The sequence below is a fragment of the Homo sapiens genome, chromosome 11 (genome assembly GCF_000001405.40).
Source record: "Homo sapiens chromosome 11, GRCh38.p14 Primary Assembly".
In the NCBI taxonomy this organism is placed as follows: Eukaryota; Metazoa; Chordata; class Mammalia; order Primates; family Hominidae; genus Homo; species Homo sapiens.
The window spans coordinates 86078335-86102145 of record NC_000011.10 but is presented as its reverse complement, the minus strand read 5'-3'; the positions used below and the strand labels follow the sequence as shown (position 1 = coordinate 86102145).

Here is a 23811-nt window from a genome sequence, read left to right as displayed (position 1 = left end):
GCTCACTCACAGTCGTTCTGAACTTCACATTTGTCATATGTAAAATAGACTGGTTACTCCCTAACAGCATTTCCAGCTCTGACACTGTGCAATTATATGATCTGTGTATTCTGGAACCAACTTCCCAAAACAAACTCTCTTGTTTGGGCCATTGAGAAATGGCATTGAATTGTTTGCTTTATTATAAATGGCTTCTTAATCTCTGAATCATTCCTATTTAAAAGAGATTCAAAGAGCCTGCAGTATTGCTGTATATTTAGTGGAGAACAACTTGGAGAATTGCTTATTCGATATTTTATAGTTTCATGCAGAGTTCCTACTCCCTGAGAGCTTTGGCGATATTTTACATTACTTTTTAAAGTCATCTTCTAGCTCAAGAAATTTGGTACCTATCTGGTTTTATTGACTTGGCTACATTTCAACAAATTTGTTGGGTGACTAACAAGAGTTCAGAATGATTCAGATGATGGAATGGTGGACTACCTAGTATTTAAGTCATTGGAGAGGCCAAGACATCTGTCATCTATAACATTTTACAGCTATCTTTTACCGCTTTATAATAGAGAGAATTTGCTTGAAGAATGATAGATACGTAAGGGCTAGAATCATACCATCAACACTGTAGAAGGTTCGAGTGGGAAGGATCTGAGGTTTGTTGTGAGGAGCCTCAGTGGCTGCCTAAAAGAGAGCTAGGAATACAGTGGGGGAAAGAAGACTAATTAGGTAGGACTCCGAGTTATCCTCATTCCAGCTTCAACTGTCTCAACCAAGAGCAAACCCGTTTCTGTCCATTTCACCTGCTGATCTTCAGAATAAGTTTATTAAAAAATGTTCTGCTTCAAAATAAAATCTGGGCCTATTAATCTATTTCAACTTCTCATTTACAGATAGAGGCTCAGAAGGTTGTGATTTGCTTTTGAGAGAGGTCATTGAAAGATCTCCTAGACTGGGTTCTAATTTTCAAAGAGATTTGGAGGGAAAGAAATGTCAGAAGTAGCTGGGCGCGGTGGGTCACATCTGTAGTCTCAACATTTTGGGCTGGGCGTAGTGGCTCAAGCCTGTAATCCCAGCACTTTGGGGAGCTGAGGCTGGTAGATCACTTGAGGTCAGGAGTTCGAGACCAGCCTGACCAACATGGTGAAACCCCGTCTCTACTAAAAATACAAAAAAAATTAGCTGGGGGTGTTGGCACCTGCCTGTAATCTCACTCAGGAGGCTGAGGCAGGAGAATCGCTTGAACTCAGGAGGTGGAGGTTGCAGTGAGCCAAGATCGTGCCACTGCACTCCAGGCTGGGTGACAGAGTGAGACTCCGTATCAAAAAAAAAAATCATTTTGGAAGGCCAAGGCAGGAAGATCACTTGAAGCCAGGAGTTCTGGACCAGCCTAGGCAAAACAAACGAGATGCTGTCTCTACAAAAAAAGAAAGAATGACCAGCCTGGCCAACATGGCCAAGCCCCATGTCTAAAAAAAATACAAAAATTAGCTGGGCGTGGTGGCACATGCCTATAATCTCAGCTACTCAGGAGGCTGAAGCAAAAGGATTGCTTGAACCTGGGAGGCAGAGGTTGCAGTGAGCCAAGATGGCGCCACTGCACTCCAGCCTGGGCAATAGAGTGAGACTCCATCTCAAAAAAAAAAATAAATAAATAAATAGGAAAGAGAGCAAGAGAGAAAGGAAGAATAGAAGGGAGGAAGGGAGGGAGGGAGGGAGGAAGGGAGGAAGGGAAAAAGGGAGGAAGGGAGGGGACCCCTAAGTAGGGCCAAAGGTATATGTGAAAAAACCTACAGTAATAGAATATTTAATATTTTAAAATTTCCAAAACACTCATAAGTACATACCATTTGATCTTCAGAACAGACATGTAAAGCGAGTAATGTAGGTATCATTAACCTCAATTTACAGATGAGGAAGCTGACACCAGGCAAGGTCACGTGACATGCACAATGTCACAGGTGTTAGAGCCTGAACTAGAACTCTAACATTTCTGACCTTCAACCCAGTGCTCTTTGTATTACACCACACCACAGACTAAAGAGACATGACAAATAGGTCTGTCAACGTATCTTAGAGACATGAGTCGGTAGTAGGTAGAAGATTCACACACATTCTGGCACCCGGGGATATGATTTGGCAATGTGTAAGTTATCCTATGCTGTCATTGCTCACAGTCTGAATCATGTACATTATTCCCACTGGGGGAATATCTGAGCATCATCTCCTAAGTGCTATTTTAGCAATAGCACTTTGCTAATTATGAAGACAAAATTACTTTATTAGATCATAAGGAAACCTGTCTTTTGGTTTTATCAGGCATTTGTTTCTGCTGGTTAAAAATCTTTTGGTTTCCCTTATAAGAATTTACTTAGCCAAAATGTTTAATGTGGAAGAAAACGTAAGATAAATTTTCTTCTGTATTAAAGTCTAACTTTTTTTTCATTTTCTTTTCTCTGCCCATCCTCTACTCTTGGCTACTTCCCTACTAATTATTCATTATTGATCATGTAAAATCTCTTTTCCAGGGCAAAAATCATACTTAAAAAGAAATTAATTTATAACCTTACAAGACTCAATACATTATAACAGATTGAAACATTTTAGAGGTTAGAATGTAAAAATGAGAGAATATTTGAAAAGAAAACTAGTCTTTCTGGGGAAACAGCTGTGAGGTATATTTCAATGTAATGTATAAAGCAGTTTGATGCTTGAGGTAAAAAGTCACATTCGGGGCCAGGCACGCTGGCTCATGCCTGTAATCCCAGCACTTTGGGAGGCTGAGGTGGGCGGATCACTTGATGTCAGGAGTTCGAGACCAGTTTGACCAACATGTTGAAACCCCGTCTCTACTAAAAATACAAAAATTAGCTGGATGTGGTGGAGGGCGCCTGTAATCCCAGCTACTTGGGAGGCTGAGGCAGGACAGTCACTTGAACCTGGGAGGCGGAGTTTGCAGTGAGCCAAGATCATGCCATTGTACTCCAGCCTGGGAAACAAGAGTGAGGCGCCATCTCAAAAAAAAAAAAAAAAAAAGTCAAAAAGTCACATTTGGCTAGTTTGCCTTTCTTGGTACTCTAAAAAATGATTCTAGAGATCTTAAAGGACCAATTAACAATTAATTAACAATTAATGAATTGTATCAAATACAGAGAAATCATTTAAGCTAATTTCACAGAACAAAACCCAGAATATGTAATTAGTCCATCTTGGGACAATATAAGCATATTATCTGAGAAATTGCTATCATATTCATAAACTAGGGTTAATTAACAAGTTCCCTCTCTTTGAAGAGGCTGTCCTGATGTCTTTGGCTTTCATAGGCCAGGTGGAAAGAGTGTAATATTTGGGGTGAGGAGTATCATGGAAATATAGTCAGATCCTTTTTTTTAACCTTTTCCAAGATAGAACCATATATGAAGATCCTAATGGATCGTTCTGTCTCTTGGAATTGGGTATAGATGAGAAAGAGAAAACAGTGAATAATAAGTGCCCTTAAACGATATATAAATTCATTTCTCTTTTACATAAAAGAAGTCCAGAAGTAAGCCATCCAGAGTTGGTATAACAGTTCTATGATCATCATGCACACAGAATCTTTCTACCCCATGGCTCTGCCACATGGCTTCTACCTAATAGCCCAGAAGCACTGCTCACGCTTCAGCCATCATGTTTTATTTCCAGCCCAAATGAAGGAGCCAGAGATGATCTGTCTGCATGATCTCCCTTTAAGGAGCCTTCCTGGAAATTCAAAAGAACAATTTCAATGACATCTCATTTATTAGAATTTAGTCACATACCTACATACCTAACTGCAAGGGTTTCTTTTCTTTTTGGGTGGCTATAAACCCAGCCAAAATAAAGTTTTCATCACTAAGAAAGGATGAGGAAGTAGATACTTGAGATTTTGTCTGACACAAGTCTTCTCTTTCCACCACCATTTTGGTTAACAGTTGCCAGATGCTTGAGCTGTATGAGTTTGCTTGAAACCCCCTTCCTCTTTTTTCCTAATCTGAACTCAAGTGTAAATAAATTGCTGCTCCTCTGGTCAAGCAGAAGAGAGATGAACTTGAGGAGTTTAATTTTTTCCCCTAAAACTTGCTGGGAAATGCATCTAAACACATTGTTCAGACTACATGCAAGTTGCTCGTTGTGGAACTCCTGAAGAACTGAAACTCTCAGAATAAAACTCTATAGCATCACCACCATATCCCTAAAAATATACAAACCTAAATTTAAATGTTATTTAAAATGGCAGATGGGCCAAATAACCATGTTCCAAGCTGGTACGAAACTGTGTGTACTATGAGATTTTTCCGAGAAAAAAAAAATAGCCCAGGCAATTCAAATCTAAACAAGGAAACATCTCCAAATATCCTGTAATTTGTTTTCTAGCAAGGATCATGGGAATAATAGCTAAAGCCAGAAGAAATTTGAATAAACTCAGTTTTCATTTCAAAAAGATGCAAGGGAGAGTCAAGGTCTATACGTCATGGTTAAAAATGTCAAAGCAAGAACAGAGGGCATAAGTATAACTGAACTTTAAAAATGATGATGATCATTATTTTTAAGAGACAAGATTCTTCCTTGTCACCCAGGCTGTAGTGCAATTGCACAATTCTAGCTCGCTGCAGCCTCAAACTTTTCGTCTCAAGCCATCCTCCCACCTCAGCCTCCCAAGTAGATAGGACCACAGGTATGCATAAATGTTCCTGGTTTATTTATTTTAAAAAAATGTTTTTAGAGACAGGGTCTCACTATATTGCTCAGGCTGAAAAAATTATTACTTATCATAAAAATTTGTTACGTGAAGTAGAGGAAGCACTGCAGCTGTCTCAATGAACCTATAGACTGTCAATTCACAAAATGTTATGTTTGGTTGTGTGCAGCGGCTCACACCTATAATCTCAGCACTATGGGGGGCTGAGGGGGAGGATTGCTTGAGGCCAGAAGTTCGAGACCAGACTAGGAAACATAGTGAAACCCCATCTCTACAAAATAAAAATTTAAAAATTAGCTGGGCATGATGGTGTGCTCCTGTAGGCCCAGCTACTTAGGAGGCTGAGTCAGGAGAATCACCTGAGCCCAGGAGTTCCAGATTACAGTGAACCATCATTGTGCCCCTGCACTCCAGCCCGAGTGACAGAGCAAGACCCTGTCTCAAAAAAAAAAAGTTTGTTCATTTCCCTAGCATATTGTTGTCTCCAGATTAATCATCATTGTTTGGACAAATATTATTTATCTACTGTGTTCCAGGCATGGTGCTAGGGGTGCAGAAGGAAACAATCTGTCCCCTCAAGGGGTTCAGTTTGGTGATTACAAATTATTTGTAATTTTCATCTTCACAAATAACAAAACCATTGTATTCTGGGATCTCAGAACCAGGAATTTGGCATTAAGCAACATGGTTTGTCCGCCAAGAACAAAGTAGAAAGAGCACAGGTTTAGGATTCAGAAAACTTCCATTTAAAGCTCAGCTCTGTCACTTACTATCTGTGCCTTTGAGCAGATTATTTCACCTTTCTTAATTTCAGTTTCTTCCTCTGAGAATTGAGAATAATGCCTACCTGTCAAGGTTGTTCTGAGGATTAAACGAAATAATATAAATGCTGTGCTTGGCACATGGGAGGTATTCAAACACTGTAATTATCATAATTATCATTAATTATTGTGTTATTTCCAAGAATGGATTAGGTTCTACAGAATGCTTTGGAGAGTGCACATATAGTAAGAGCAATACATATATAGAGCTTGCTATGATCCATGTACTGTTCTCAGCACCTTCCTCAGTAGGATTGGTATTTTTAAGCATAGCAACCATCCCTCTAGATATTATTATTTTTATCCCTGTTTTACAGTTGAGGAAATTGAGGCACAGAAAGTTGAGTAACTTGCCCAAGGTCACACAACTAAGTAACAAAGTTGAGAAGTTGAGATGTGAACCCAATCACCATTTCTCCAGAATCTGCACTCTCATTATTCTATCACTATGAATAACTTAATTATTTAATTTGGGCTGGGTGCAGTGGCTCACACCTGTAATCTCAACACTTTGAAAGGCTGAGGTGGGCAGATCACTTCAGGTCACGCGTTTGAGACCAGTCTGGCCAACATGGTGAAACCCTGTCTCTACTAAAAATACAAAAATAAGCTGGTGTGGTGGTGCATGCCTGTAATCCCACCTACTTGGGAGGCTGAGGCAGGAGAATCACTAGGACCTAGGAGACAGGTTGCAGTGAGCTGAGATCACACCACTGCACTCCAGCCTGGTTGACAGAGTGACACCTTGCCATGAAAAAAATAATAATATTATTATTTAATCTGTAAATCATACATGAGACTAGAAAAAAATTTCTGACTTTCGGTGATTAACTTTTGATAAAATAGTACAACCCTGCTACCTGGGCAAAGTGGCCCTAGTCTTAGGCCCTGTGCTTTAGAAGGCCCTACATATCACAACACAAAAAATAATTTTTATTTTATTTTATTTTATTTTTTTGAGACGGAGTCTCACTCTGTCGCCCAGGCTGGAGGGCAGTGGCACTATCTCGGCTCACTGCAAGCTCCGCCTCCCGGGTTCACACCATTCTGCTGCCTCAGCCTCCCGAGTAGCTGGGACTACAGGCGCCCGCCACTACGCCCAGCTAATTTTTTTGTATTTTTAGTAGAGACGGGGTTTCACCGTGTTAGCCAGGATGGTTTCGATCTCCTGTCCTCATGATCCACCTGCCTCGGCCTCCCAAAGTATTGGGATTACAGGTGTGAGCCACTGTGCCCGTCCCCAAAAAAATTTATTTAACAACACATGGGCACTTCTGATACTCAAGATCTGGCTCTTAGCATTGACACAGTGTGTTCTTAAGCATCCACTCGTGCTTAACAGCATTTAAGGCCCAGGAAAATGCTTCTTTATATCTCTTATCCTACGTCATTAAATGAAAAGGCAATTGTGTCCAAATTCTGTGATGTCTTCTGCATTATACCACCACAAGATATGAAGATGAACATGAGCAATTTAGGAGAATGTGAATAACAGAAGCACCTAGGTAAGAGAAGAGACTAACTTTTCAGACCTTTCAGTTATCAAGAGTGCAAAAGATTTTTGCGTAATGCAGTATCATTTTCCAACACACAAAGTATCCATTTTCTTCTTCTTTTTCTTTTTCTTTTTTTCTGAGACTCTCACCCAGGCTGGAGTACAGTGGCACGATCTTGGGTCACTGCAACCTCTGCCTCCCGGGTTCAAGTGATTCTCCTGACTCAGCCTCCCATGTAGCTGGGAACAGGCCTGCGCCACCACACTCAGCTAATGTTTGTATTTTTAGTGGAGATGGGGTTTGGCCATGTTGGCCAGGCTAGTGTTTCAGACTCCTGACCTCAAGTGATCTGCCCACCTAGCCCTCCCAAAGTGCCGGGATTACAGGCATGAGCCACTGTGCCTGGCCTTCTTCATGTTTTAATTTGTGTTTCCTGACTACTTGTGAACTAGTATTTTATTTGCAATAATTAAATATGGTGGCTGAGGAACATTTTCTAAGATAAAACAATTTATATTATTCAAATGTGTGTATATGAAGGTTATACATAACATGCGTGAAGTGTGATACCATTTCTTCACATTGGCCACTGAGTGGCCATTGAATGTGACCATTAAAAATGGTTTTATTTTTATTAAAATATTTAAATGATGCAAATAATTTTTAAAACATTTTTTGTTTAATTCTTTTGATTTAAAATTTTGACATTTTCAGAGCAGATGATGAATCTGAAAAAGAAGTTGATATTTAATGATTCTAATTTGCTTTTCTCTTTAGAAATTTTAGGAAAGATTATTTTTCTTTTGTTTCTTTTTTTCATGTCAAACGGGCAATGTGACAACGGTGTAACAAGGTTCAAGGGTGGCATATCTCACACATGTGCATGAACACTCAATCATTACACTCATGAACTACAAAAGGATCAGGAGAGATTCTTTTGAATACTTTAGAAAAATTCCTTTCTAACATTAAATAATGGGAATTTTCCAGTTTTTAATTTACATTTTTTGATGGACGACATATTTGAACACTTTGAATACAGTCACTTTGGTTTTTTTTTAAATCTTTTAAGACTCTGAGAATGAGTACAAGTTAAGGTCAAGATAGAAATAGAAAATATAAAACTGAAATTCAGAGAAGAAATAACTAGGAAGAAAACTTATCAAGACAGAAGAATAGAACATACTTCTTTTTTTTTTCTAAAAGTTTGATAGTTTGATACCTGACTTTGAAATATTTAGACATATGATATATAGGCTTCTATGTATCATTTGGTCCCACTATTACAAATGTTAGGGGTGGGCCTTTCAGACAGAGTCCATGTAGTTACCACAGCAAGCTCTTTTTGGCCTAACCTGTATTTTAGCAATTATAAAATAATATAATTAAATTAGTAGCTTCACAATTGGAGAAAGTCACAAAGTGATAGCAAAAAATTCAGCACATTTAGGAAATATGAATAACTCAAAGAGGATTATATGATAGACTTGGGTGTTTTAAAGTACTGTATGATTTTCTTGGGGGAAAAAAGTCCATGTCGAAAATCTATGCCACATTCTGAAATAAAGAATGGTTTCTAGGATAAAATGATCTTCAAGGAGGAAAACTATGTTGAGAAGCGATTCTATTAATTTGGTCAATCAATAAATGAGTAATGATACTCATGTAATGTGCCCCCAGCAGACAACAATGTTGAAGGTCTAAAGCAAGTAAAAGATGTGGTCCTGGCTGCAGGAATTTTACAATCGAATTGATCTAATTGAAGAGATAAGCAATGCATACTTGAAACAATTAGAGATTAGATGCTAAAAGAATGAACTGTGAAGTCCAACAAGTTTTACTAAGGATCAAAGCAGAGAAACATTGGTGTGAACTTGAGTCACCTTGCAGGGAGAGATTCTTAGAGGGCTCTCTAAGGAGGGAATGAGACCCAAAATAATAATCTCTGGAATGGATTTAGGAAGGGTCTTATTGGTCCAAGGAAACCACATGAACTATAAACCATATTTTAAAACAAACAAAATTCCATTCCTTAGTAATGCTGTAAAATTTCCTAATACTATCTAGTCTTATACTTTATTTTTTATTTTTTTATTTTGATTTTTGACATGGAGTCTCGCTAAGTCGCCCAGGCTGGAGTGCAGTGGCGCAATCTTGGCTCACTGCAAGCTCTGCCTCCCAGGTTCACACCATTCTCCTGCCTCAGCCTCCTGAGTAGCTGGGACTACAGGCACTCGCCACCATGCCCAGCTAATTTTTTGTATTTTTTTTTAGTAGAGACGGGGTTTCACCGTGTTAGCCAGGATGGTCTCAGTCTCCTGACCTCATGATCTGCCCGCCTCGGCCTCCCAAAGTGCTGGCGTGAGCCACTGCTCCTGGCCTCTTTCTTTTTTTCATAGAGATGGGGTCTCACTATGTTGCCCAGGCTGTTCTCAAACTTCTGGGCTCTAATAATCCTCCCACCTCAGTCTCCCAAAGTACTGGGATTACAGGCATGAGCCACTATGCCCAGCCTCTAGTCATATATATATATATATATATATATATACACACACACACACACACACGTGTATACATGTGTGCGTGTATGTGTGTGTGTGTGTATATATATATATATAGTTTGTTTTAAAGACAGGGTCTCACTCCCAGGCTGGAGTGCAGTGGCACAATCATGGCTTATTGTAACTTCAAATGCCCGCTCTCAAGTGTTCTTCTCCCCCTCAGCCTTCCTAGTAGCAAGGACTACAGGCACACACCACCACACCCAGCAAATTATTTCAATTTAATTTTTGTAGAGATAGGGTCTTGCTATGTTGCTTGGGCTGGTCTCGAACTCCTAGGCTTATGAGATCCTTCTGCCTTGGCTTCCCGAAGTGCTGCGATTACAGGCATGAGCCCCTGCGCCTGGCCCAGATACATATTTGTAAAAGCTCCATATTTGTTACCTATTATCCCAAGACTTAGTGGCTTAAAACAATAGCATCTCAGTGGGCACTGTGACATGTGCCTGTAGTCCCCGCTACTTGGGAGGCTGAGGCAGGAGTATGTCTTGAGCCCAGGAATTCCAGGCTGTAGTGTACTGATTGTGCACCTTTGAAAAGCCACTGCACTCCCAGCCTGGGTGACATAGGGAGACTCTGTCTCTAAAAAAAAATAAACAAAAAACAGTATCTCACATAGTTTCCATAGGCCAGGAATTTAAGAAGAGATTAGCTGGTGGTTCTGGCTCAGGGTGCCTCATGAGGTTGCAATCAAGATGTTGGTCAGGACTTCTGGAGGTTTTACTGTGGTGTGGAAAGATCTGCTTCCAAGATGGCTCATTCACAGGCTGGCAAGTTAGTGCAGGCTATTGGCGGGAGGTCTGAGTTCTTTGCCACGTGGACCTTTCCCTTGGACTGTTTGAGTGTTCTCATAACTTGGTGGCTGATTCCTGCCAGAGTGAATAAGCCAGGAAAGAGCAAAGTGGAAGCTGCAATATTGTTTATGACCTCAGCCTCAGAAGTCAAACATCCTCAACTCCTCAATATTCTATTGGTTGCACAGGTCATTCCTATTCATTATGGGCAGGGGCTATACAAGGACTTGAATACCAAGAGGTAAAGATCACTGAGATTCATTTTGGATGCTGACTAATACAAGTCCCCAAATTTATTTTCTTTCTTTTCTTTCTCTCTCTTTCTTTTTCTCTTCATCATGGGCAGGGGCTATACAAGGACTTGAATACCAAGAGGTAAAGATCACTGAGATCCATTTTGGATGCTGACTAGTACAAGTCCCAAAATTTATTTTCTTTCCTTTCTTTCCCTTTCCTTTTCTCTTCTCTTCTCTTCTTTCTTTCTTTTTCTCTCTCTCTCTTCTTTTTCTCTTTCTCTCTTTCTTTCTTGATTTTTTTTTCAGAGTCTCACTTTGTCATCCAGGCTAGAGTGCAGTGGTGTGATCTTGGCTCTCTGCAACCTCTACCTCCTGGGTTCAAGCGATTTTCCTGCCTCAGCCTCCTCAGTAGCTGGGATTACAGGCACCCACCACCATGCTTGGCTAATTTTTGTATTTTTTAGTAGAGACAGGGTTTTGTCATGTTGGCCAGGCTGGTCTCGAACTCCTGACCTCAAGTGATCTGCCTGCCTTAGCCTCCCAAAGTGCTGGGATTACAGGCATGAGCCACTGCACTTGGTTAAAATTTGCTATTTTTGTGGTTAAAAAAAGTAGCTAATATCAGCAATTTCATGTTTTCAACCTATTACTTGTAAAGGTGCTACTATGAGCTAAGACACCTGGGATAAATTTTTAAGAAGTTATAAATATAAAACTACTTTTCTTTCAAAACATTAGTTAATCAGAATTTCAAATGAATGAGAATAAACTATTCTTCAAGCATTGTAGTTATTTGAAATGTTACTATATCGTTGATATTCTCCTAAAGTTTTTGGTGCATGAGCCAAAGGATGTGTGGCAGAAGTTCTGAGAGGGCAACATATCAGTGTGACTTGATGAAAGCAGTTTAACATCCCTGGGATCAATTTTCCTCATCTATAAGTGAAGGAATTGGGTTAGATGGCATGTAAGTAGTCTTTCTGTGCTAAAAATTTTTAAGATGTCTTTTTTTTTTTTTTTTTTTTTGAGATGGAGTCTTGCTCTGTCGCCCAGGCTGGAGTGCTGTGGCACGACCTCGGCTCACTACAACCTCCTCCTCCCAGGTTCAAGCGATTCTCTTGCCTCAGCCTCCTGAGTAGCTGGGATTACAGGTGTGTACCACGACGCCCAGCTAATTTTTGTATTGTTAGTAGAGACAGGGTTTCACCCTGTTGGCCAGGCTGGTCTTGAACTCCTGACCTCAAGTGATCTACCTGCCTTGGCTTCCCAAAGCACTGGGATTACAGGCATGAACCACAGCGCCCAACCTTAACATGTCTTTATATGCTGGGTATGAGCCACTACCAGTTCCGTTCTTAAACTCATCGTAAGAATTGCATATTTAAGTGCTAGAAAAATGGCTGTAACTAAATATGCTCATTTATTAACATATAATGTTAACAGTTAAACTCAAGGTCTCTTCAGCTTTTTAGTAGTCCAGAAACTCTTTCTTCCTGCTTTTTTCTCTCGAAAGCATAGACTGCCCTTCAGTAAATCAATTTACTTAATTTGACTTGCTATATTTGACAACATTTTTTTGGGTTCACATATTTTTCTTGTGCCAAGTACTGCATTTTCCATTTCCCACAGAACCAGGACAAACTGTACATCCCCTACTGTGTCCAGGGTAGATCTGGCTAAATGTCAACTATGTTAATTGGTATAGAGAAAACAGCAGCCCTATTTTTATCTGATTAAAAATCCCCACAAACATTCTCTTCTAAACTAAAGCTATGACAGTACAAAGTGATTTAATTATAATATAAAGTTTGGCAGATGTGTCCCTCCAGCCTTTATTCTACTGTAGCCTGCAGAAATGTTGCTGTTTCCTGGAATCCTCAAGCATCTAAATTTTTAATCCTACTTCTGGAGGTTTAGAATTCAGTACTCGAAACTTTCTTTAGTTTGCCAACTGGAATAAAATATATTTGCTTTAAAGTGATATGTTTAAACAAAAGATTTGAATTAAACAATCTATAGAACCTTATTTAAAAGGTAGTTGGAAATACTTTATTCCACTGTTAAAAAGTCTACATCTTAAAAATTGCCCCAGGATGAGCAGATTATATAATATAATTGCTTTAGTTAAATGAGGTGTGGGAGGTGTGGGTGTAAAAGAGTAAAAGGTAATGAACTTTGATAAATTTATATGAGCTATAACAAGGTACCAGGGAAAACTTAATTTTATCAGAAAGTGACTATGTATCTTCAGTGCTCATTCAAAATTGTATGCTGCCCCTTTAATGTCGGAATTACCCAGGACTGTCTTTAGTTCACTCCCAGGTTAACTTCATACATTCCATGATTTCACCAACTTCTTACACACTCACAGTGTTTGGGTCTGATCTCCAGCTTACTGAAAGCCACATCAATACCCTTTGGCATACTGGAGAGTTCCATTTGGGTATCTCAGGAACAACTCTAAATCAGTATGTCCAGGACTTTCAGTTTTTATTCTCGCATGTAAGCAGCTTAAAAGTCAACACTCGCCAGGCGTAGTGGCTCACACCTGTAATCCCAGCACTCTGGGAGGCCGAGGTGGGTGGATCACGAGGTCAGGAGTCCAAGACCAGCCTGGCCAACATGGTCAAACCTTGTCTCTACTAAAAATACAAAAATTAGCCAGGTGTGGTGGCACATGCCTGTAATCCCAGCTACTTGGGAGGCTGAGGCAGGAGGAATCTCTTGAACCCGGGAGAAGGAGGTTGCAGTGAGCCGAGGTCATGCCACTGCACTCCAGCCTGGGCAACAGAGTGAGACTCCGCCTCAAAAAAAAAAAAAAAAGTCACCATTCCATCCTAACAACAAATAAAAAAGCTGACCAAACAGAAAAATCTACAACATTTCTTAGATCTGTCAAAAAAAAAAAAAAAAAAAACGAGGTCACAGGGCAAACTGCTGCCCCAAAATTGAAGACAGGCAGGAAGATACAGGGAATCAAAATTTACCAGAGCGGAAGCCCACAGTCAGAAACCTCTGCAGGAGCCAGTGCTAGGGGAGGAAAACCTAACCTGTAATTAACGAATTGCTGGAGGTTCAATGTGGACAAGTCTTAGAGTTAAAAACTCCAGGGGGACCTTGTCCTAGGAAGCCCCAACACTTTTGTGAGTTTTACCTCCTGAAGGTCTACCAGGTACACACAGTGACTACTGGAGAAAAATCCCTTAGGCTTCTTGCAGGGGAAGAGGAAAAGGAACTATTTTTAAATATGATAGAGCACTTCTTTCTTAACAAGGCCTACCATCATGGGGAACTATTTTATCTGAATGGATTTTTTTCCAACACCAGCAACCAATTCTCCAATTCTCTGGATACCAGGTGGATGCCAACAATTCCATTCAATTCTGACACTAACTACCTGGAGTTGGCATCAGGCGCCATAGGTTTAAGGGCTCAATCTCTCAAGACCTCCTCCATTTAAGATGCCTATCAGAAGTCCCTGGGCACTCATACATCTGACTGATTGGCTATAAATACAGGGTTCCTTCTGGGAGGCAGAGGTTGCAGTGAGCTGAGATCGCGCCACTGCACTTCAGCCTGGGTGACAGAGCAAGACTCCATCTCAAAAATAAATAAATAAATAAATAAATAAATAAATAAAAATAAAAATTAAATAAAAAAATAAATAAATAAATATGGTGCTCCCATGAGCCCCTCCTCAGGTTCAGTAATTGGCTAGAATGGCTCACAGTACTCAGGAAGGCACTTTACTTACATTTACTGGTTTATTATAAAGGACACAAATGAACAACCAGATAAAGAAATGCACAGGGCAAGGTCTAGAATGGTCCTGAGCTCAGAAACTTCAGTTCCCATGGAATTAGAATGCACCACCCTTCCAATACATGGATGTATTCACCAATTCAGAAGCTCTCTGAATTTCATTGTTCAGAAGCTCTCTGAATTTCATTGTTCAAGAGTTTTTATAGAGCTCAATCTCCAGGTCCCTATTCCCTCCCCAGAGATTGATGAATGGGGCTGAAAATTCTCACCCTCTAATCACTTGCTCTTTCTGGAGACCAGTTCTATCCTGAGGCCGTCTAAGGGCCCCACCATAAGTCACCTTATTGGTATAAACATAGACATGGTTGAAAGGGACTCGTTATGAATAACAAAGGCACTCCTATCATTCCAAGGGAAATTCCAAAGGTTTTAGGAGTTCTGTGCCAGAAGACAGGGACAGACCAAATATATTTTTATATTATACACAAGATTATTATATTTTATATGATACCACAAGAGCCTAACCTACTGGGGGACTAACCTATCAGTGCCTAACCTATCTGGAAGACTGGAAGTACACATGCTCACAAAACACTGGAATCAAATCACTGGACTATAGAATGCTTTTCATCCCCCCAAACCTTACCACTTTACCCAGACCTTATCACTGAAGGCCTATTTACTGGGATTTCTTTCACTTAGTTATTATGTCCAGATTCCAACAAAATAGTACTATACAAAGCACACTAAAAGGCAAAAAACAACAGTTTGAAGAAACTTAAGAATCAGAACCAGTTTCAGATATGGCATAGATTATGGGATTATCAGACTGGGAATTAAAACAAATATGATTAATATGTTAAGGGCTCTAATGTAAAAAATAGACAACATTTAAGAACAGATGGAAAAATATAAGCAGAGAGATGGAAATTCTAAGAAAAAGTCAGAAAGAAAGGCTAGAGATCAAGAACACTAACAGAAATAAAGAATGCCATTGATGAGCTCCTTAGTAGACTGGACTGGGCTGAGGGAAGAATCTCTGAGCTTGAGGATGTGACAAGGAAACTTCCAAAAATGAAAGAAAAAGAGATTTAAAAATTACTGGAAAAAAGAAACACAGAACAGAATATCCAAGAACTGTAAGACAACTACAAAAAGTGTAATTTACAGGTAATGGAAATATCAGAAGGAAAAGAAAGAGAGAAAGGAACTAAAGCAATATTTGAAGCAATAATGACTGAGATTTCCCCAAATTAATGTCAGACACCAAACTACAGATCCAAGAAGCTCAGAGAACACTAAACAAAATAAATGCCCACCAAAACTATACTAAGCACATTTATTCAAACTTCAGAAGATCAAAAATAAAGAAAAAATCTTGAAAGAAGCTAGAGGGTAAAAACACCTTAACTATAATTACATCTGACTTCACCTCAGAAATCATACAAACAAGAATGAAGTGGAGCAAAATATTTAAAGTGTTGAAAGAAAAAAACCCAGCAACCTAGAATTCTGTACTCTGCAAAATTATCCTTCAAAAGTGAAGAAGAGCCAGGCGTGGTGGCTCATGCCTGTAATCCCAGCACTTTGGGAGGCTGAGGCAGGCAGATCAGTTGAGGTCAGGAATTTCAGACCAGCCTGGCCAACATGGTGAAATCCCATCTCTACTAAAAATACAAAAAAATTAGCCAGGCATGGTGGTGTGTGCTTGTAGTCCCAGCTACTTAGGAGGCTGAGGCAGGAGAATCACTTGAACCTGGGAGGTAGAGGTTGCAGTGAGCCAAGATCACACTACTGCACTCCAGCCTGGGTGACAGAACAAGACTCTACCTCAAAAAAAAAAAAAAAAAAAAAAAAAAGTGAAGAAGAAATAAAGACTTTCTCAGGCAAACAAAAATGAAAGGAATTTGCCACCAGTAGACTTGCCCTGCAAGAAATGCTAAAAGAAATTCTTCCAAGAGAAGGAAAATGATATAGGTAAGAAACTTGGAACTATATAAAGAAAGGAAGAGCTTTGGGAATCAATTTTATTTTTCTTATTCTTAATTTTTCGAATGTAACATTTTGTTCAAAATATTAATAGCAACAATGTATTTGACTATATATGTATATTATATATAGGCTTATGTATACTTATGGATAAGTGAAATAAATGACAGCAATAGTATCAGTGATAGGAGGGAGGAATTAGGAATACTTTGTTATTATAAAGTACTTGTGCTACCTGTGAAGTGGTATAGTGTTATCTGAAAGTAGACTTGAATTACTTGTAAATGTATATAGCAAACTCTAGTGCAATCACTTACAAAAGTAAAAACAAAACAAGTATAATCAATCAATATGCTAAGAAAGGACAGAAAACAGAATCACATAAAACCCTCAATTAAAACCACAAAGGCAGAAAACATGTGGAAGACAAAAATAGGAACAAAGAATAAGGGCAATAAATGGAGCACAAAAACAAATACGGTAGATATTAACCCAACTATATTAATAATTACTTTAAACATCAGTGGCTTAAGCACACCTTGTCAGACTAGGCACAGTGGCTCACACCTGTAATCTCAGCACTTTGGGAGGCTGAGGCCAGCAGATTGCTTGAGGCCAGGAGTTGGAGACCAGCCTGGCCAACATGGTGAAAACCAGTCTCTGGTAAAAACACAAAAATTAGCCAGGCCATGGTGGTGCACGGCTGTAATCCCAGCTATTCAGGAGGCCAAGGCAGGAGAATCGCTTGAACCTGGGAGGAGGCAGAGATTGCAGTGAGCCATGATTGCGCCACTGCACTCTGGCCTGGGCAACAGAGTGAGACTGTCTCAAAGAAACAAACAAACAAATAAAAAATAAGCACACTTTGTCAGAGTGGATCAAAAACCAAGCTCCAACTATACGCTGTCTACAAAAAACCTACTTTAAATATAAAGAAATATACATATTAAAAATGAAGTGATGTAGAAAAATATACTATGCTAACACTAATCAAAATATAGGAGTAGCTATTATTTCAGACAGGGCACAATTCAGAGCAAGGAAATTATCAGGGATAAAGAGGAGCATTACATAATGATAAAGAGGTCAATACTCCAAGAAGACATAACAATTCTTAACGTATATGTGCCTAATAGTAGAGCATCAAAATACGTGAGGCAAAAATTGATAGAACTACAAAGAGAAATACATGAATCCACTATTGTAGTTGGAGACCGTAACACTCCTCTATTAGGAATAAACAGATCCAGCAGGGAGAAAATCAGTAAGGATATAGTTGAACTCAAAACTATCACTCAACTGGATATAACTGACATCTATAGACGACTTTATCGAACAAAAACAGATAATATATTCTTCTCAAGCTCATGTAAAGCATTCATCAAGAAAGACGACATTCTGGGCCATAAAATACACCTCAACAAATTTACAAGAATAAAAATTTTACAATGTCTGTTCTCAGGCCAAATGGAACTAAACTAGAAATCAGCAATAGAAAGTGGGAAGATCCCAAATAGTTGGATATTAAACAACACACTTCTAAATAACACGAGTCAAAAAAAAATCTCAAGAGAAATTTTAAAAATATTTTAAACTACATGAAAATGAAAATACAATTTATCAAAATTTGTGGGATACAGCAAAAGGAGTACTTCAAGGGAAATTTATAGCACTGGATGCATATGTTACAAAAGAAGAAAGATCTAAAATCAATAACCTAAGCCACCACCTTACGGAATGACAAAAATAAGAGGAAATTAAGTCTAATGTAAGCAGAAGAAAATAATAAGAATTAGAGCAAAAATCAATGAAATTGAAAACAGGAAATTAATTAATGGAGAGAAATTTAAAAAATGAAAAGCTGATTATTTGAAAAGATCAATAAAATCAATAAACCTCTAACCAGGCTAAGAAAAAAACAGAAGACACAAGTTACTAACACCAAAAATGAAAGAAGGGACATTAAAAGGAAGGAACATTATGAACAACTCTATGCTGACAAATGTGATAACTTAGATGAAATGCAGTAACTTAAGAATTGTGAGGCTGGGAGTGGTGGCTCATGCCTGTAATCCCAGCACTTTGGAAGGCCGAGGCAGATGGATGACAGGGTCAGGAGTTCGAGACCAGTCTGGCCAACATGGCAAAACCCCATCTCCACTAAAGATACAAAAATTAGCCAGGCATGGTGGCGCATGCCTGTAATCCTAGCTACTTGGGAGGCTGAGGCAGGAGAATCGCTTGAACCCGGGAGGTAGAGGTTGCAGTGAGCTGAGATCACGCCACTGCACTCCAGCCTGGGCGACACAGTGCGACTCCATGTCAAAAAATAAATAAATAAATAAATAAAAAGAATTGTGAAAGACATAGTCTACAAAAACTTATACAAGAAAAAACAGACCATCTGAATAGGCATAGGTGTATTTACAAAATGATACCAATAATTAATAACCTTCTGAAACAGAAAGAACCTGGCCAAGATGGGTTCACTGGTGAATTCTAACACATATTTAAGGGAAAAAATTAGACAAATTCTCTACAATCTCCTTCAGAAGATAAAAGCAGAGAATACTTCCTAACTCATTCCATGAGGCCAGCAGAATCCTAATACCAAAATCAGACGAACATCATGAGAAAATGACAGACCAGTATCTCTCATGATATAGATGCAAAAATCCTCAAAAAATTAGCAAATTGAATCAAAGTATGTATAAAAAATTATAAACCATGACCAAGTGGGACTTATTCCCAGTATTCAAGGCTGGTTCAGCATTAAAAAATCAATCAGTGTAGCCTACCACATCAACAGGTTAAAGAAGAAAGCTCACGTTATCATATAAACAGATATAGAAAAAATACTTGACAAAACCTAACACTATTCATGATAAAAACTCTCAGGAAACTAGGAATAGAGGGGAACTTCCTTAGCTTGATAAAGAACATCTACAACAACCCTATGGCTAACTTCATACATAACACTGAGAAACTCGAAGCTTTCCCACTAAGATCATGAACAAGTCAAGGAAGTCCTCTCTACCACTCCTTTTCAATATTGTACTAGAAGTCCTAGCTAAGGCAATAAAATAAAAAAGAAAAGAAAAGATATACAGACTGGGAAGGAAGAAATTAAACTGGCTTTGTTTACAGATGACATGATCATCTATGCAGAAAATCCAAAAGAATCAACCAAAGGAACTCCTGGAACTAATAAGCTATTATAACAAGGTTATAGGATACAATGTTAATATACAAAAATTAACCACTCGCCTATATATTAGCAATAAACAAGTAGAATTTGAAGTTGAAAACACATTAGTGTTTACATTAGCACACCCCAAAAATAAAATAGGTATAGATTTAACAAAATACGTACAAGGTCTATATGAGGAAGACTACAAATAAATTAAGTAACTAAAAAAATAGAGGAGTATTCTATGTTTATGGATAGGAAGACTCAATGTTGTCAAGATGCTGGTTCTTCCCAATGCAATCCCAATCAAAATCCTAGCATGTTCTTTATGGATACTGATGAACTAATTGTAAAGTTTATATGGAGAGGCAAAAGACCCAGAATAGCCAACTCACCGTTGAAGGAGAAGAACAAAATAAGAAGACTGACACTACCTGATTTCAAGACTTACTATAAAGCTACAGTAATCAAGACAGCATGGTATTGGTAAAAGAATAGACAAAGAGATTAATGGAACAAAATAGCCCAGAAATAGGCCCACATAAACATAGTCAACTGATCTTTGACAAAAGAGCAAAGGCAATTCAGTGGAGAAAAGATAGTCTTTTCAACAAGTTTTGCTGGAACAACTTAGACATCTACATGCAAAAAAAAAAAAAAAAAATGAATCTAGACACAGACCTTATGCCTTTCACAAAAATTAAGTCAGAATGGATCATATTCTAGAATCAGCATCAAGGATTAAAAAAATGGATCATAGACCTTGTCTTTAATCCATTTAGGATGCTCTAACAAACTACCATAGAGCAGGTAGATTATGTATAACAGAAATGTATTTCTTGCAGTTCTGGAGAGTGGTAAATCAAAGATCAAGGCACTGGCAGATTTGATGTCTGGTGAAGGTCCACTTCGTGATTCACAGGTCACTCCCTTTTCACTGTGTCTTCACATGGCAGGAGGAAGGGATTTCTCTGAGGCCTTTTATAAGGGTACTAATCCAATTAACGAGAGTTCCACCCACGGTAACCTAATGACCTCTCAAAGGCTCCACCTCCTAATACCATCATTTTGGGGGTTAGGATTTTGGGGAGTGGTTACAAACATTCATACCACAGCAAACCTAAATGTAAAACAAAAAACTATAAAAGTTCCACACGATAACATAGGAGAAAACCTAAATGACCTTGGGTATGGCAGGGACTTTTTAGATTCAACCCTATGCATGATTCATGAAAAAACTGATAGCTGGACTTCAGTAAAATGGAAAAACTTGGCCAGGCATGGTGGCTCATACCTGTAATTTCAGTACTTTGGGAGGCCAAGGCAGGAGGATTGCTTGAGGCCAGGAGTTTGAGACCAGTCTGGGCAACATAGTGAAACCCCATCTCTACAAAAAATAAACAAATTAGCCAGGCATGGTGGCACATGCCTGCAGTCCCAGCTAGTAGGGAGGTTGAGGCAGGAGGATCACTTGAGCCCAGGAGGTCAAGGCTGCAGTGATCCCTGATTGTGCCACTGCACTCCAGTCTGGGTGACAGAGTGAGACCCTGTCTTACAAAAAAACAGAAAACAAAAAAAAAACGGAAAAACTTCTGCTATGTGAAAGACAATGTAAAATTGAATAAGATAAGCAATAGACTGGGAGTAAATATTTGCAAAATAAACATCTGATAAAGGACTGTTATCCAAAACATACAAAGAATACTTAAAACTCAACAATAAGAAAATGAACTGGCCAATTTAAAAATGAGCAAAATACCTGACCAGACACCCTCACCAAAGAAGATACACAGACGTTAAGTAATCAGGTGAAAAGATGTTCAACATCATATGTCATTGGGAGATGCAAATTAAAACAACGAGATACCACTACACACCTATCAGAATGACCCAAAATTCAGAACACTGAAAATACCAAATGCTGGAGAGGATGCATAGCAACAGAAACTCACATCCATTACCGGTGGGAATGCAAAATGGTGGCGCCCCTTTGGAAGAGAGTTGGCAGTTTCTCACAAAACAAACATATTCTTACCATACGATCTAGCAGTTGTGCTCTTTGATATTTACCCAAATGAACTGAAAACTTATGTTTGGCCAGGTGCAGTGGCTCACGCCTATAATCCCAGCAATTTGGGAGTCCGTGGCAGGCACATCACCTAAGGTCAAGAGTTTGAGACCAGCCTGGCCAACCTGGTGAAACCCTGTCTCTACAAAAATACAAAAATTAGCTGGGCATGATGGCGGGTGCCTGTAATCCCAGCTACTTCGGAGGCTGAGGCAGGAGAATCGCTTGAACCTAGGAAGTTGCAGTGAGCCCTTGATGGCTCCACTGCACTCCAGCCTGGGCGACTGAGCAAGACTCTGTCTCAAAAAAAAAAAAAAAAGAAAAGAAAAAGGAAAAAGAAAACTTATGTCCACACAGAAACATGCACATAGATGTTTATAGCAGCTTTATTAATAATTGCCAAAACTTGGAAGCAACTAAGATGTCCTTCAGTGGGTGAATGGATAAGTAAACTGTGGTACATCTAGATAACAAAATATTATTTAGTGCTAAGAAGAAATCAGCTATCACGCAATTGAGGAAAAGGCATTGAGGAATCTTACTTGCATATTACTAAGTGAAAGAAGCCAATCTTAAAAGGGCATAGACTGTATGATTCCAACTATTTGATATTCTGAAAAAGGCAAAACTATAGAGACAGTGAAAAATCAATGATTGCCAGAGGCTGGGGAAGGGAGAGATGAATAGGCAGAACACATAGAATTTTTAGGTCAGTAAAACTATTCTGTGTGATTCTGTAATGGTGGATACATGTTATCATACATTTGTCAAAGCCCATGGAATGTACAACTCCAAGAGTGAACCCTCACGTAAACCATGGACTTTGGGTGACAATGATGTGTCAATGTAGGTTCACTGATTGTAACAAATGTACCATTGTGGCACGTGATGTCCACAGTGGGGAAGATTGTGCACGTGTTGGGACAGGAACTACATGGGAACTGTCTGTATTTTCCACTCAATTTTTCTGTGAATTTAAACCTTATCTAAAAAAGTAAGTTTATTAATTTAAAAAATCAGTATGTTCAAACTAAATACAACATTCTTTCCCTGCTACCTTTCCACCTTCCCCCTGCTCCAGGATTCTCCTTTTTAGTGAATAGCATCATGATACAACCGGAAACCTAGGAATCAACCTAAACTTTGCAATCTCCTTAATCCATTTCATGCAATCTCTTTGCCAACTCCTATGCATTTTTACCTCTAGAATCAATAGGCTTCTTCTTATTTCTAATGCCACTATCACAAAGTACTCTATCCACCATCTAGTTTTATTTTGATCTTGCCCTTGGGCTAAGTGTTATAAAGGAGAACAACTATTTTTATGAGCTTTTTGTTTTCTAATCTTATGTAATCCACTGTGAATTAGGCCTAAGGAAGACCATAAAATGTAAAATTTAGCTGTCCAAAACTTTCTTGATATTTCATAACAAGGCTGTAATTGAACTAAAAACCAAATCATTATACAGGGTAGAGGAAGAAGGAAAGAGATGGAATCATGGTTTCTGGCTCAGGGAATCATTTAAAAGACTAATTGAATTTCAAGTATGAGAGGTTCCACAAAGATCAGTTAGTCCTCCATATCATTTCTGTCCTTAGAATCTTTCAATCTTCTTCTTGCCTTCAGGACAATATCCAGGCTCTTTTTAATTGTGGCATATAAGCTATCTTCCTTCCAACTTCATCTGTCCTTATTCTCCATTCACATGGTTATTCAGTCCAAAATCCTAGGAGTCACCCTTTCATAGTCTTTACTTGAGCAACTTGTCCCCAGATTCTACTCCCTACCATTCAATCCACCAGCAAATTCTGTTGATTCTTTATTCAACATATATCTAAACCTATCTACTTCTTTTGACTTCCATGCCTACCACCCTAATTTAAGTCACGATCACTGCTCTTCTGGTCTACAGCAATTCCTTCTTAGCTATTTTTCTTGCTTCTGTTCTTATTTTACATTCCATTCTCCACACAGCAACAAGAATGTACTTTGCAAATTGCTGCCAAATCTCCCTGTATTAGTTTCCTCTTGTTGCTGTAACAAAATGACCACAAACATAGTGATTTAACACATGGAAATTTATTCTTTTACCTGATTTTAGATTTCTAACCTCCAGAAATTACCTTCTTTTATGTTGGTGTTAAAATAAGTCTGGTGGGACTAAGCACAAGATGTGGCC

General features: G+C 38.8%; 1 non-coding gene across 1 annotated transcript; it reads right to left on the bottom strand.

Annotated features, from left to right (window-relative positions):
• Positions 1-7850: 7850 nt before the first annotated feature.
• On the bottom strand, positions 7851-7954 carry LOC124902829 (small nucleolar RNA U13). The gene has a single exon (XR_007063014.1). It is a non-coding gene; the product is annotated as a small nucleolar RNA U13 (small nucleolar RNA).
• Between the last annotated feature and the right edge of the window lie 15857 nt (positions 7955-23811).